Source organism: Homo sapiens, chromosome 10 (assembly GCF_000001405.40).
Source record: "Homo sapiens chromosome 10, GRCh38.p14 Primary Assembly".
NCBI classification, from domain to species: domain Eukaryota; kingdom Metazoa; phylum Chordata; class Mammalia; order Primates; family Hominidae; genus Homo; species Homo sapiens.
Window position 1 is genome coordinate 10,643,478 of NC_000010.11, and position 16,640 is coordinate 10,660,117.

The 16,640-nt window shown below is 40.9% G+C and overlaps 1 protein-coding gene across 9 annotated transcripts in view, besides 1 other annotated feature; it reads left to right on the forward strand.

Moving 5' to 3' along the window:
• CELF2 (CUGBP Elav-like family member 2) overlaps positions 1 to 16,640 on the forward strand; it is an 874,126-nt gene that overhangs the window by 180,928 nt on the left and 676,558 nt on the right. The gene's annotated exons all lie outside the window — the stretch shown is intronic.
• Positions 7,625 to 8,242: an enhancer, noted in NCBI's record as "H3K27ac-H3K4me1 hESC enhancer chr10:10693065-10693682 (GRCh37/hg19 assembly coordinates)". NCBI's record gives its function as "activates a minimal SCP1, AML or CMV promoter by ChIP-STARR-seq in naive and primed H9 embryonic stem cells {active_cell/tissue: H9 hESC(naive and primed)}" and the evidence as "EXISTENCE:reporter gene assay evidence [ECO:0000049][PMID:30033119]".

Genomic DNA, 16,640 nt, shown 5'->3' on the forward strand with positions numbered 1-16,640 from the left:
CTTGTGGAACTGTGAATCCATTAAGCCTCTTTCCTTTATAAATTACCCAGTCTCAGGTATGTCCTTATAGCAATGTGAGAATGGATTAATACAGGTAAATTTTTTGAAAAATTGGACCACAGAATTATAAATATTTCCCAGGTTTAGATCTGATTCTTTAGTCTAACACTATCATTTATAATGGAGGTTATAAAACAACATCTAAATATTGACCTCTATAGAGTTCCTTCTAGGGAAGAGGACAACAGGAGTTTCCTATAAACCTACCCAGCCTTCTCCTCAACCTGAAAGTGAACATCAATATTTTACTTTATGTCTTAACGTAGGCTCTGAAAATTTTAAATTGTGACAGTCTTAAGTGGCAATTTCTTAACTCTCATTTGCATGTTGAACCTTTGACACAGTTACAGTTTAGTGGGTTATAAATCGTAACCCATTAAATTAGTCAGTCAGAAATAATCTGTTTCTCCCCTGTCTTCCAAAAGTTAATTTCTTGGATGTTATCACAGCCCTAAGGTAAAAATGCAAGATTAAGGACATCATCCTGTCCTGGATCCCCAGCATCCCCCAAACCCAAGCCTTGCCTTTGTTTTCTACCAGCTGACAAAAGAGGTTTACCTGTGGCTGAAAACATGAGGCTGCAACTGAAGCTTTCTTTACAGACTCATGTCTCCTGTCTGCTGCCACGTGATAAATAGAATCTGTACTGCCTGACACTGGTGAACAGTGGGTGAAATGGATATTAGAAAAATCTCATTTATCTTCTGCTTTATTTCTTGATAGGGGTCCTTGTCACTAGGACTATTGTGTGACCAGCTCTGGAAAGGGCATCTCATTAGTTTTTCTTATCAAGATAGCAAGGTCCTTTTAAACAGCAAAGCACTTACATTTTAGATTCAATTAGGAAACTGCACAGTGTGTGTTCGTGTGTGTGTGTGTGTGTGTGTGTGTTTGCACTTCAGAGCTTCTTCCTGGAGACAGAGTAGTGTCAGCTTGATTCTTACAGGTCTGGTTTTCACCGCAGTTGAGCCCAGCAGGCACGTCACACTGAACCAAACCCTGTGACTCAGTATCCTCTGGCACAAAAGCAGCTGATAGACTCATCTTCATCTGCTTCCATGATTTTGTCTGAGGCAGGATCAGCCTGGGCGAGGTATAGGAAGCTGCCAGCCATCTGTGTAGCAAGGGATGTCCATGGATCTCTTTTCTGACGTGGTTTGCTAGAAAAATGAAACAAAGGCCCTATTTTAGCCCCACTAGTGTCTAAAGTATCTCCCCCCACGTCCTGGGCTTCCTTGCACACAGCGGGCTCTTCTGGCAAATGCACTTTGGAGCAGTTCACAGTTGCCACCCAGACAACTGGGAGAATGTCAGCAAATCAGCAGTGACTTAGAAAATGTCAGATGGGGTTCAACTTTTTCACATCATATTGAAAATCTCAGTGACAGGCGGATGAAGTGGGACAACTGTACGTCAAGGCACTGTGTGGAAAATTTAGCTGATACACTGAGAGAAAGCGCCTCTCTCCCAGCAGCTGTGAAAACAAACCAAAAACGAAAATATCCTGCCAGGGTTCTGAATGATCTCCTGGGGATACTGGCCTCTTTTGAAAGAACATGGATGCTTTCAGGACAGTAGGGTGCCATGTAGCTTGCTTATTCAGGGGGGATGAGATGCTGTTGGTTGGCAAGATTGAATCCCCCCTTGTTGAGTTCTGTGGAATCCCCCCTTGTTGAATACATGTTTCAGGGAGAAGCACCATTCACTTTCAGGGGCTGGCTGGATTGTTGGCAATTCTGTACTCCACCCTACTCACATAGGCCAGCCTTAGAAGACAGCCACTGCTCATGATTTACTTTTAAACCTTTGTCGCAATTGTGATTAAGAATTTGTGCCTGGGTGCGGTGGTTCATGCCTATAATCCCAGCACTTTGCGAGGCTGAGCTGGGAAGATCACCTGAGCCTAGGAGTTTGCGACCAGCCTTGGCAACATAGTAAGACCTAGTCTCTACCAAAAAATAGAAAAATTAGGCAGGCATGGTAGCACGCCCATGTAGTCCCAGCTACTCAGGAGGCTGAGGCAGGAAAATCACTTGAGCCCAGAAGTTCAAGGCTGCAGGGAGCCATCATTGCACCACCGCACTTCAGCCTAGGTGCCAGAGCAAGACTTTGTCTCAAAAAAATAAAAAATAAATTTGCTTGATTAATGGTTAGATGATAAGCTTCCAGAGTGCAGGGAGAGTGTCCTGTTCACTGTACATCTCCTGTGCCTACAAAGTGCCTGGTGGGGAACAGGTACTCAATAAGTTTCTTCTGAGATTGACAAATGATTGAAGGCAAAGAAGATATTCCTGTCTAAAACCCTCTTCCATGTATAGAAGCAACTCTATTTTGTGATTCCATGAAAGCATGACATAGGGTAACTCGTTCTGGTTTTGTGTCTGGCTGGCTGAGACTGACATCAGGATGCTAACTTCCTGTGGCTTCAGTTTACTCTGAAGTGATGAAGAGTATTAACCTTTCCAGATGCACTAATCCTAATCTTTTGGGCTAGGACACTGGAGAACTTGACGTCTCATTCTCCATTGAGGTTTTCAGATAAGATCTAATATGGGCAGATATTAGGCAGTTACTAGGCATGTGTTGGTCTGTTTTTTCCCTATGAGACAGGGCATCTGAGATCATCTAAGTGCTCTGAGCACCTACAGATAAAAAGCTACAAAGAGTAGAGTCTGGAATGGGGACAGAAAGGAAGGTAGAAAACCGTCAAAACCAAAGTTCACCTACTTCACAATTTCCCTAAGGACCAATCAGTAAACATCCATGAACAAAGACAGAGTATGTGCCTGGGACAAATGGAAATCAACAAATCCATTTCAACGAAAGCCACGGCTAATTGATGCTCATCCACAAATCTCTCGTTAAACATTGGTTCATCATTTGTCACATCCATCAAGCTTCACTTGGTTTTTTGCACGTCGTTTCTCAGCCCCTTACTTTGCCCCCTCACTGCTTAACCAAGTCTCATTCTGTTCCATTGCTACAACACTTGGTAGTGTTAAATATGATGGCAGTCACATCCACCTCCATGCATAATTAAGAAATGGATTACATGTTTTGAAAATGACTGCAAAGACTTCCAAGGCTGGAATATTTATCCAAATCTAGTATTACTTCCTGAGTTTTGTTTCATGGAATATTTATGACAAGCTGTGATGAAATACTGACCCAGGATGTTCTGACGAAGAGCAGGTGCCACTGAGGTGCCACATCATTCTGTGGAACTTGCATGGCATTTTATTTGCCAAGAGCCTTTCTCTAATACTTCAGCTTCGCTTGGCATTAACTTAGCTGCACAATTTTGTGCTAAGAGAGTGAAGAAATGAAGCCCAGAAGGGTGAAACAGTTTGCCCCACGCTAATGATCTCTCCCTGCCCTTTGATGAGTGTTGGACCTCACACAGCCTGGTCATGCCACTCCCCTGCTAGCCTACTCGTTGGCATGAGGGATGATGAACTGAAGGATACATTGCATTTCCTGCCATCTAATATCTCTGTGACATTATAAATAGGGTCACATACTCCTCCTTTCCTTGGACTTAATTCTGATTTCTGAGCATGATAAGCAGGGTCTAAGTTAACTGCTCTGCCTTACATAACTCACAGCCTAGCCCTTGCCCCTATCCTCCTGGTTCCCGTTTCCTTAACTCCCTTTGTGTCAAACTCCTGTTTCCCCATTCCTCCTCCAGTCTCAACCCTACACCTGCTTCAGGACTTTGCTGAAGCATCACCTGCTGTAAGAAAACTTTCTGCTCCTTGCGATTTCCTGTCCTTTGAACCCACTGCCCGCCCGCTCCACATGTGGGTATGGACACCCTCCCTGCCTTTACATAAAAGCCGTTTTAGATTTGATCTCAACTCTCCCAGGTCTTTCTGATAAATGAAAGACAATTTGCAAATGCAAACATCAATGCGGATAACATATAGTCACCAAATTCCAGAGCCATTGTTCCACAGCCAAAGGGCAGCTCTTGCTTAATAAGGACTTAGATTACTCATCAATAAATGATGACGACAGATCATTAACAGCACCATTTGGACAGCGCTCTGCATTTTACATGGTGCCTCCGTGGACAGCACTTTTCTCACTTTTCCTCTGTGACGTGATGGAGCATATCCCCGGGCCTTGGAGAAATAGTCCCCAAAATCAGGCAAGAAAAAATATTTCAAGGCTTGCTTTCTTTTAAAACTTTGTGTGTATTTTTATCTTCCATGATAAACATCATCATTTACAGTTTTAAAATGTTTTAATGGGCTTACCACTAAATAAACCTGCTATTCCAAAAAGATTCCATGGGCCTGTCATCGCAGTTTAGAAAACACTAGTTTGCCATTTAACTGAATCCTGGGCACTGCTCTGTGAAAGAGGTGAGCTGCTTAGGACCAATCCATTGTTACGGGAGAGAAAAGCACCTGCATTTTGATCCACTTCCTTCAGACCCTGAATTAGTGATAGAGTTAGGATTCAACTACAGATGTTTTTAACTCCAAACTTCATGTACAAATTTACTTACCCTTCAAGAAATTTCCAGTTGTGCTATCCTCAGGATATATGAAAGTATACGATTTTATCCACTGCCCACCACCTTGCAGCAATGTAAAGCAAAAACCCACTGCCCAGGCACAGTAGCACCTCATCCCCATGTTGACGTCATTTACCTGAAGCCCAGGACTCAGCTCTTGGATGTGGTCTCTTCTATATCAACATCCAGCATCCATCCTAAAAATCCCAGGGAACCCGTACCAGTATCCCTGGATAGTCATTAATGTAGCTCCCTGAAGCACTTCCTTTCATCATGTCTGTCTGCCTTTACTAGGCTATAAAGTCCTTGAAGTAAGAGATCACCTTTGATACATCCCAGTCCATATGCCAAACTCAGCTCAGCGTCTGGTATCAAAAATGCTCTTTCATGCATACTTATCGCTCACTAGTTTCCTAAAAGTGGACAGGAAGGGTTGCAGTAGGTAAAAGAAAGTACAATTTCCCCATCAGCCAAAGCGAAAGAATAACAGCAACAACTATTACATGGCATCACACTGAACCATGCAAGTCTATAGCCTTTCCTCTCGGCTCTATGTCATGATAGATCGTGTTCTGGAAGCAATGGTCTGTAGCTTAAATGGGTCAGGTGTATATTTTGATTTTCTCTTACAGCTTGTTGAAGAATATTTTACGGTTTGGTAATTTTGTTTCTTAATATCCAAGATGATTGACCGTGGTACCCAGCAGCCCGAAGGAAGACATCCTTAAATGTCATGATTATCCCAAAATATTAGAGCAAGCTTATTGGAAATTTGATCTTCTCAAAAATATTACTATAGCTGCATTCCATTGGGTTCAATAAGTGAAATGATGAGGAGGGGCGCACCGCTTACAGATGATGCTGTCGGCTATTACCCATCTTCTCCCCTCCTGAGAGCCACTGCATTGAAATGTTATGTGTTGCTCACCTTTCCTTATGGTATATTGTAACTTTGCAAGGCTGAAGATTTCAGTCCTGGATTTTCAGCTGCTAGAAGAAAACTGATTTCCCATCTATCCCCTTTTGAAACGGGCACTGGTCTAAAGAAACCATTATCCTCTCATTTTTTCATGCTGGTGAAAGTCGCGATTCTCATAGATAACCCAGCACACATTTACATACTCTTCATAGCCAAAAATGGTATGGCTTTTGTTATCTAAATGATCTCATAAACAAAAGGCAACAACATTTTCTGAATGCATTTGCCTTGAGCATCTCAGGGTAAAAACATAGGTCCTTTATTCTGTTGCAGAGGTCAGAAATTGTAATTAGATAGCGGGCTGGGTTTTCTCTTTTGTATATACTCAGGTCAATATTACCAAACTCAGGTCAACATTACCATACTCAGATCAGTATTACAGTACTCAAGTTAATATTGCCAACTGTTTCCTCTGGGGGGAAAAAATGGGTTGGATCATTCCCAAAACTCGTGTTATATGTTTTACATACAGATATATCTTAGGGATACATCTCATAGAAAGGGATGTGGTACCACAGACAACACAGCTTATCTTAGACAACAGCTTAAATTCACTGACATTACCTCTGAGTCATAATAGACTTGCAAAAACCAGTAGATTTTAAGTTGGATCTGGAGTGATTCAATGATTCCCTCATGCATCTAGAAGAGGCAAGTGAATTCCCAGGACCCCAGATATCTCTGGAGTTCCCAAAATACTGGTTTCTGGAGACAGACATCCCAACACTGCAGAAGGACCCGCGTGTAGTGTAGGTAAACTGAAAATGTCCGATTGTGCCCACTTGCTTTCGAGGACAGAGTGATGCCTGAGAGGCTACATTCGGATTCCCCTGGAGTGCAGCTGTTCCTCTGCTCACTTCTGCCACCTTCACATCGATCTCTGCAGCGGGATGATTTAAGTGGCCATTTAGATCGATGCCCGAGACAACACAGCCAGGATATCCACCCGCCGTAATCTGCTCATTCTGTGTGGATGGACTAGGACTTTGCTCCAGGAATGCCAATCACATTGCAACCATCAGGAAACGTTCAGACTATTTGATGCTCCGCAGATGCTGGTCTCACATCCAGGGAATGATAGAGGACAGTGCAAAGTTCGACCTGTCCCTTCGTAGTATTTCATTACAGCCTCATTTGAGACAATCGAGGGAAATTAAAAAGAAAAATAAAACAAATAAAGCAGAACAAAAAGGCCCCCATTGAAATTATCATGAGCATTGACTTGGGTAGAAATGGCATGCAAAGTGTAAGACATCTTAATAAAAGAATCAAAGTTATTTTCATTAAGCACATTTAAACTTTTGCTCTTCATCTTGCTTCCAAAGTAGTATATCTTCCCATTTGACTTAAAATGTTAAGTTAAAAAATATTTTCCATAATTTTTCATAAAATTAAAGATATGCATACTCTGTAACCCAGAAATTCCAATTCTAATTCTACATTTTAGAGAGACCTATGTAAAAGTACACATCTTGAATTATAAGAGCAAAAAATTGAAACAGCCTAAGCATTTATTAACAAGAGAATGAATTTTTCACAAAATGAAATAGTACACAGCATGACAAGATAAAATAGCACTGCAATGAGATACAACTTCATACTCTCTAGGATGGCTATCATGAAAAAGACAGAAAATAAGAAATGTGTGCAAGAATGTGGGGAAGATAGAACTGTCATACATTGCTTACTAAAAATAGTAAAATGATGCAACCACTTTGGAAAAAGTTTTAGCGTTCCTCAAAATATTTAACACAGAGTCACCATCTGACCCAGCGATTCCACTCCTAGGTATGTACCTAAAAGAAATGAAAACGTGGAGGGGGGAGGAGCCAAGATGGCCGAATAGGAACAGCTCCGGTCTACAGCTCCCAGCGTGAGCGACGCAGAAGACCGGTGATTTCTGCATTTCCATCTGAGGTACCGGGTTCATCTCACTAGGGAGTGCCAGACAGTGGGCGCAGGCCAGTGGGTGCGCGCACCGTGCGCGAGCCGAAGCAGGGCGAGGCATTGCCTCACTTGGGAAGCGCAAGGGGTCAGGGAGTTCCCTTTCCAAGTCAAAGAAAGGGGTGACGGATGCACCTGGAAAATCGGGTCACTCCCACCCGAATTTTGCGCTTTTCAGACCTGCTTAAAAAACGGCGCACCACGAGATTATATCCCACATCTGGCTCGGAGGGTCCTATGCCCACAGAATCTCGCTGATTGCTAGCACAGCAGTATGAGATCAAACTGCAAGGCGGCAGTGAGGCTGGGGGAGGGGTGCCCGCCATTGCCCAGGCTTGCTTAGGTAAACAAAGCAGCGGGGAAGCTCGAACTGGGTGGAACCCACCACAGCTCAAGGAGGCCTGCCTGCCTCTGTAGGCTCCACCTCTGGGGGCAGGGCACAGACAAACAAAAAGACAGCAGTAACCTCTGCAGACTTAAATGTCCCTGTCTGACAGCTTTGAAGAGAACAGTGGTTCTCCCAGCACGCAGCTGGAGATCTGAGAACCAGCAGACTGCCTCCTCAAGTGGGTCCCTGACCCCTGACCCCCGAGCAGCCTAACTGGGAGGCACCCCCCAGCAGGGGCACACTGACACCTCACACGGCAGGGTATTCCAACAGACCTGCAGCTGAGGGTCCTGTCTGTTAGAAGGAAAACTAACAAACAGAAAAGACATCTACACCGAAAACCCATCTGTACATCACCATCATCAAAGACCAAAAGTAGATAAAACCACAAAGATGGGGAAAAAAAAAGCACAGAAAAACTGGAAACTCTAAAAAGCAGAGCGCCTCTCCTCCTCCAAAGGAACGCAGTTCCTCACCAGCAACGGAACAAAGCTGGATGGAGAATGACTTTGACGAGCTGAGAGAAGAAGGCTTCAGATGATCAAATTACTCTGAGCTACGGGAGGACATTCAAACCAAAGGCAAAGAAGTTGAAAACTTTGAAAAAAATTTAGGAGAATGTATAACTAGAATAACCAATACAGAGAAGTGCTTAAAGGAGCTGATGGAGCTGAAAACTAAGGCTCGAGAACTACGTGAAGAATGCAGAAGCCTCAGGAGCCGATGCGATCAACTGGAAGAAAGGGTATCAGCGATGGAAGATGAAATGAATGAAATGAAGTGAGAAGGGAAGTTTAGAGAAAAAAGAATAAAAAGAAATGAGCAAAGCCTCCAAGAAATATGGGACTATGTGAAAAGACCAAATCTACATCTGATTGGTGTACCTGAAAGTGACGGGGAGAATGGAACCAAGTTGGAAAACACTCTGCAGGATATTATCCAGGAGAACTTCCCCAATCTAGCAAGGCAGGCCAACGTTCAGATTCAGGAAATACAGACAACGCCACAAAGATACTCCTCGAGAAGAGCAACTCCAAGACACATAATTGTCAGATTCACCAAAGTTGAAATGAAGGAAAAAATGTTAAGGGCAGCCAGAGAGAAAGGTCGGGTTACCCTCAAAGGGAAGCCCATCAGACTAACAGCGGATCTCTCGGCAGAAACCCTACAAGCCAGAAGAGAGTGGGGGCCAATATTCAACATTCTTAAAGAAAAGAATTTTCAACCCAGAATTTCATATCCAGCCAAACTAAGCTTCATAAGCGAAGGAGAAATAAAATACTTCACAGACAAGCAAATGCTGAGAGATTTTGTCACCACCAGGCCTGCCCTAAAAGAGCTCCTGAAGGAAGTGCTAAACATGGAAAGGAACAATCGGTACCAGCCGCTGCAAAATCATGCCAAAATGTAAAGACCATCGAGACTAGGAAGAAACTGCATCAACTAAAGAGCAAAATCACCAGCTAACATCATAATGACAGGATCAAATTCACACATAACAATATTAACTTTAAATGGATTAAATTCTCCAATTAAAAGACACAGACTGGCAAATTGGATAAAGAGTCAAGACCCATCAGTGTGCTGTACTCAGGAAACCCATCTCATGTGCAGAGACACACATAGGCTCAAAATAAAAGGATGGAGGAAGATCTACCAAGCAAATGGAAAACAAAAAAAGGCAGGGGTTGCAATCCTCATTTCTGATAAAGCAGACTTTAAACCAACAAACATCAAAAGAGACAAAGAAGGCCACTACATAATGGTAAAGGGATCAATTCAACAAGAAGAGCTAACTCTCCTAAATATATATGCACCCAATACAGGGGAACCAAGATTCATAAAGCAAGTCCTGAGTGACCTACAAAGAGACTTAGACTCCCACACATTCATAATGGGAGACTTTAACACCCCACTGTCAACATTAGACAGATCAACGAGACAGAAAGTCAACAAGGATACCCAGGAATTGAACTCAGCTCTGCACCAAGTGGACCTAATAGACATTTACAGAACTCTCCACCCCAAATCAACAGAATATACAATTTTTTCAGCACCACACCACACCTATTCCAAAATTGACCACATACTTGGAAGTAAAGCTCTCCTCAGCAAATGTAAAAGAACAGAAATTATAACAAACTATCTCTCAGACCACAGTGCAATCAAACTAGAACTCAGGATTAAGAATCTCACTCAAAACCGCTCAACTACATGGAAACTGAACAACCTGCTCCTGAATGACTACTGGGTACATAACGAAATGAAGGCAGAAATAAAGATGTTCTTTGAAACCAACGAGAACAAAGACACAACATACCAGAATCTCTGGGATGCATTCAAAGCAGTGTGTAGAGGGAAATTTATAGCACTAAAGGCCCACAAGAGAAAGCAGGAAAGATCCAAAATTGACACCCTAACATCACAATTAAAAGAACTGGAAAAGCAAGAGCAAACACATTCAAAAGCTAGCAGAAGGCAAGAAATAACTAAAATCAGAGCAGAATTGAAGGAAATAGAGACACAAAAAACCCTTCAAAACATCAATGAATCCAGGAGCTGGTTTTTTGAAAGGATCAACAAAATTGATAGACCGCTAGCAAGACTAATAAAGAAAAAAAGAGAGAAGAATCAAATACACACAATAAAAAATGATAAAGGGGATATCACCACTGATCCCACAGAAATACAAACTACCATCAGAGAATACTACAAACACCTCTACGCAAATAAACTAGAAAATCTAGAAGAAATGGATACATTCCTTGACACATACACTCTCCCAAGACTAAACCAGGAAGAAGTTGAATCTCTGAATAGACCAATAACAGGAGCTGAAATTGTGGCAATAATCAATAGTTTACCAACCAAAAAGAGTCCGGGACCAGATGGATTCACAGCTGAATTCTACCAGAGGTACAAGGAGGAACTGGTACCATTCCTTCTGAAACTATTCCAATCAATAGAAAAAGAGGGAATCCTCCCTAACTCATTTTATGAGGCCAGCATCATTCTGATACCAAAGCCTGGCAGACACACAACCAAAAAAGAGAATTTTAGACCAATATCCTTGATGAACACTGATGCAAAAATCCTCAATAAAATACTGGCAAAACGAATCCAGCAGCACATCAAAAAGCTTATCCACCATGATCAAGTGGGCTTCATCCCTGGGATGCAAGGCTGGTTCAATATACGCAAATCAATAAATGTAATCCAGCATATAAACAGAGCCAAAGACAAAAACCACATGATTATCTCAATAGATGCAGAAAAAGCCTTTGACAAAATTCAACAACCCTTCATGCTAAAAACTCTCAATAAATTAGGTATTGATGGGACGTATTTCAAAATAATAAGAGCTATCTATGACAAACCCACAGCCAATATCATACTGAATGGGCAAAAACTGGAAGCATTCCCTTTGAAAACTGGCACAGGACAGGGATGCCCTCTCTCACCACTCCTATTCAACATAGTGTTGGAAGTTCTGGCCAGGGAAATCGGGCAGGAGAAGGAAATAAAGGGTATTCAATTAGGAAAAGAGGAAGTCAAATTGTCCCTGTTTGCAGACGACATGATTGTATATCTAGAAAACCCCATTGTCTCAGCCCAAAATCTCCTTAAGCTGATAAGCAACTTCAGCAAAGTCTCAGGATACAAAATCAATGTACAAAAATCACAAGCATTCTTATACACCAACAACAGACAAATAGAGAGCCAAATCATGAGTGAACTCCCATTCACAATTGCTTCAAAGAGAATAAAATACTTAGGAATCCAACTTACAAGGGATGTGAAGGACCTCTTCAAGGAGAACTACAAACCACTGCTCAATGAAATAAAAGAGGATACAAACAAATGGAAGAACATTCCATGCTCATGGGGGTAGGAAGAATCAATATCGTGAAAATGGCCATACTGCCCAAGGTAATTTACAGATTCAATGCCATCCCCATCAAGCTACCAATGACTTTCTTCACAGAATTGGAAAAAACTACTTTAAAGTTCATATGGAACCAAAAAAGATCCCGCATCGCCAAGTCAATCCTAAGCCAAAAGAACAAAGCTGGAGGCATCACACTACCTGACTTCAAACTATACTACAAGGCTATAGTAACCAAAACAGCATGGTACTGGTACCAAAACAGAGATATAGATCAATGGAACAGAACAGAGCCCTCAGAAATAACGCCGCATATCTACAACTAATTGATCTTTGACAAACCTGAGAAAAACGAGCAATGGGGAAATGATTCCCTATTTAATAAATGGTGCTGGGAAAACTGGCTAGCCATATGTAGAAAGCTGAAACTGGATCCCTTCCTTACACCTTATACAAAAATCAATTCAAGATGGATTAAAGACTTAAACGTTAGACCTAAAACCATAAAAACCCTAGAAGAAAACCTAGGCATTACCATTCAGGACATAGGCACAGGCAAGGACTTCATGTCCAAAACACCAAAAGCAATGGCAACAAAAGACAAAATTGACAAATGGGATCTCATTAAACTAAAGAGCTTCTGCACAGCAAAAGAAACTACCATGAGAGTGAACAGGCAACCTACAAAATGGGAGAAAATTTTCGCAACCTACTCATCTGACAAAGGGCTAATATCCAGAATCTACAATGAACTCAAACAAATTTACAAGAAAAAAAAACAACCCCATCAAAAAGTGGGCGAAGGACATGAACAGACACTTCTCAAAAGAAGACATTTATGCAGCCAAAAAACACATGAAAAAATGCTCATCATCACTGGCCATCAGAGAAATGCAAATCAAAACCACAATGAGATACCATCTCACACCAGTTAGAATGACAATCATTAAAAAGTCAGGAAACAACAGGTGCTGGAGAGGATGTGGAGAAATGGGAGCACTTTTACCCTGTTGGTGGGACTGTAAACTAGTTCAACCATTGTGGAAGTCAGTGTGGCGATTCCTCAGGGATCTAGAACTAGAAATACCATTTGACCCAGCCATCCCATTACTGGGTATATACCCAAAGGACTATAAATCATGCTGCTATAAAGACACATGCACATGTATGTTTATTGCGGCATTATTCACAATAGCAAAGACTTGGAACCAACCCAAATGTCCAAGAATGATAGACTGGATTAAGAAAATGTGGCACATATACACCATGGAATACTATGCAGCCATAAAAAATGATGAGTTCATGTCCTTTGTGGGGACATGGATGAAATTGGAAATCATCATTCTCAGTAAACTATCGCAAGAACAAAAAACCAAACAGCGCATATTCTCACTCATAGGTGGGAATTGAACAATGAGATCACATGGACACAGGAAGGGGAATATCACACTCTGGGGACTGTGGTGGGGTCGGGGGAGGGGGGAGGGATAGCATTGGGAGATATACCTAATGCTAGATGACGAGTTAGTGGGTGCAGCGCACCAGCATGGCACATGTATACATATGTAACTAACCTGCAGAATGTGCACATGTACCCTAAAACTTAAAGTATAATTAAAAAAATAAAAAATAAAAAAATAACTTGCACATGGTAGAATCAATAAAAAAAAAAAAAAAAGAAAACGTGTCCACACAAAAAAACTTACACATTAATGTTAATAGCAGCATTGTTCATAATGGCCAACAAGTGGAAACCATTCAAATATTCATCAATGGATGAATGGATAAATTAAATGTTGTATATTCATATGGCAGAATATTATTCAGCAGATTGATAGAGGCTACAGCATGGTTGAACCCTGAAAAAATTTGGTTAAGTTAAAGAAGAAGTCAGACACAAAAGGCCAAATAATGCATATGTCCATTTATTTGAAATGTTCGCATTACACATATGACACAGAAAAAAAAGTAGATGAGTGACTGGTAGCTTATGATTTGCTGGAGAAAAGGGACAGTGAGAGTAATTGTTGCTGGGTGCTTGTTTTCTTTTTGGGAGTAATGAAGATGTTCTAAAATTAGACTGTGGTGATGGTTGCGTAACCTTAAGCATACACTAAAAGTATATATATTTAAAAGTATATACATATATTTGCCATTAAAAGTAATGGCAAAAACCATAATTGCTTTTGCACCAGCCCAGTACTTTAAATGCGTGAGTTATATGGTACGTGAATTGTAACTCAATAAAGCTGTTTTCTTTTTAAGTTACGAAATAAAAAAATGAAGTAGAGGCAAAGTTAGCAACGTGACTAATTCCCACAACACAATGTTGAATAAGAAAAAAAGAATGCATGTAATATGAATCCAATTATATAAAGTTTAAGTATATACCAAACAATACTACACATGCCTTAAGGATCTACATACATATGTTATTAAGGAGGGGCCCAAGGATTTGGGAAGGAGAATATATTCCAGGAGCATCCCACAAGGTTTTCCATTGTATTCATGATATTTTGTTTCTTAAGTTCAGTTGGGGATACAAGATGTTCATTATAATATGCTTTATGTCTTTTTAATATGTTGAGCTATTTCATAAGCAAATAATAATCACCAAGAAGTACATGTATCCAGAAGGATCTGTTGAATTTTATTAAGGCTTGCTTTGCCCTGTTATTAACTTTTACTTTTATTCAGGTTTACGCTGAGTTGTAAAATGAAAGAAAAGTTACAGCTCCTGTGATTTTTGGTTGCAAACTTAACATGCCACTATGAAACAGAGAGGAAAGTAGCAAACATAATTCCACACTTGGCCCATAAAACGTCAAAGCTTGAAGCTATTGTCACTATTCCCCTGTTGAGAATGGTTACTTAAAAATTCCTGTCTGATGCAGTCTTTTCTAAAATCCAAATATTGAGTCTCAAAAAAAACCCTAATACATGGTTAGCTTGTGGACCACTAGGATCATTGTGGTCCCTTCTTGCCCATTTATTTGTCCCAATCCCCTGCTCTTTATGGCCTTGAGAGTGTTGAAATATTTGTTCTGTCTTAAACTGTTGTGCAATCACTTCATCATTTCTGTTCTAACCACATTTCCACTTTTGTAGATTACCTTACATTTCATATCTGAAATCCAAAGATAATATTGACATTTTTATGGGTACTATCATCCATTAAGCAATGTAATGAGTATGCTTTGTCTACATTAAGATAAGTCAACATAAATCTATACATGCTGGATCTAAGACCAGATCTGCAGAATTTATAAACAACCTCCTGCATCCCTCTTCTAGGAAACCAAAATCTTGGCCAATTTGCTAACTTTTATAAATGTGTTTTATCATCAAAGTATTTTAAGCCTGTTTTTCTGCACTTTTTTCCTAATTTTCTGGCATACAGAAAGGCATCTTCAGGAAGTCAAACCTAATAAAATACATTCTATCTTGTTAAACTGAATTTGTGAGTCTATTCTATGTAGCTCTTGTCTCTTCCTTTTTGGGTCAAGTATTCAACATTTTAACTGGCCTGATAGAATTTGATCATTACAGTCTTGGTGGTTTTTATCTGGAATTTATGTTTTTAGACCGTGGACATCTTGCCTGGATAACACAGAGAGAATATCTAGGTCTTTTTTTAGAATTACAGAAACTACAAGTGCAATGAAAGAGCTTTCTCTTTGGTTTGAAGGGCATTTGTAACCACTTACCCAGAGTTGAACTCATAAACAGATCTGCATAACTGGGGTGGTTAAAATAATAAATGTTCACCAGAAAAATGCTTCACAATTGTTTGACCTCTGATTATTGGAAAAATCAAACAGAAGCTACCTAGACCCTTGTTGTAGAAATGCTGTTCAAATTGCTTTATTTAATACTAGCTACCTCAAGAGCCTGATAATAGTGGTTTTTGCTCCTTCGTTTTTCTTGATCCGACTAATCCCTCAATTTCATAAAGAAACAGGAGCATATTAAAGAGATGTGCCCCATGTACAAATAATTTGTCACTGTTTCCATAATGAGAGAATCTTCTTCCAGTAAGATTAGTCAGTGAATTGTTTGCTCTTTAATAAAATATTTATGTTATCAAGTCTAAAATGCCCTCAGTATTGCAATATTTAAAGGAATTTCAAAGTGAGTAATTGCCAATGAGTGTCATGTAGGTTATTTTCCTTTAGCAATTACCTATTCTGTCAAAACTCTCGAAAGCAAGAATGTCATGCTTCTCCCTCCCCTCCTCATCTTCTTGCTTCAAATCGCTCCTCTTATTATGGGGAGTGAGGAAGGAATCCATCTTGGGCATTGGTGAATTTTCTAGTTCATACCTTACCTGTCCTATTGCAATGGCATCCAAGGTTCTGGCCTCACCTCCAGTTCCCAGACCCTTCAAACCACCCTGCATACCCTAAACAGAATTGACTTCCAGACACACAGATCTCAGGTTGTCAGCATGAGGACTATTTAGTGCCTTCGGTTCCAGCTCCCTCAGTGACAGGCAAGGCATTTCCCCAGCCCTACCTGGCCTCTCCTTCATTCAACAACTGTACCCTTCAGCTACTCAGATCCACCAGAATGGCTTCAAAGAGACTTAGCAGGGTTGATTAAGGATCTGGAGATGGGGAGATTTTCTGGGATTATCCAGATGCCCTCAAGGTGATCACAGGGTTGTTGAGAGAGGCACAAGGGTCAGAGAGAGAGAGGTGGCGTGACGACAAAAGCAGAGAGTAAGTAGGAGATGTGACAATAGAAGTTCAGAGAGAGCTGAATATGCTGCTGGCTTTGAAGATAGAGAAAGGGGCCATGAGCCAAGGAAACCAGGCCTCCTCTAGAAGCAGGAAATGGCAATAAAATGGAACTTACCTTT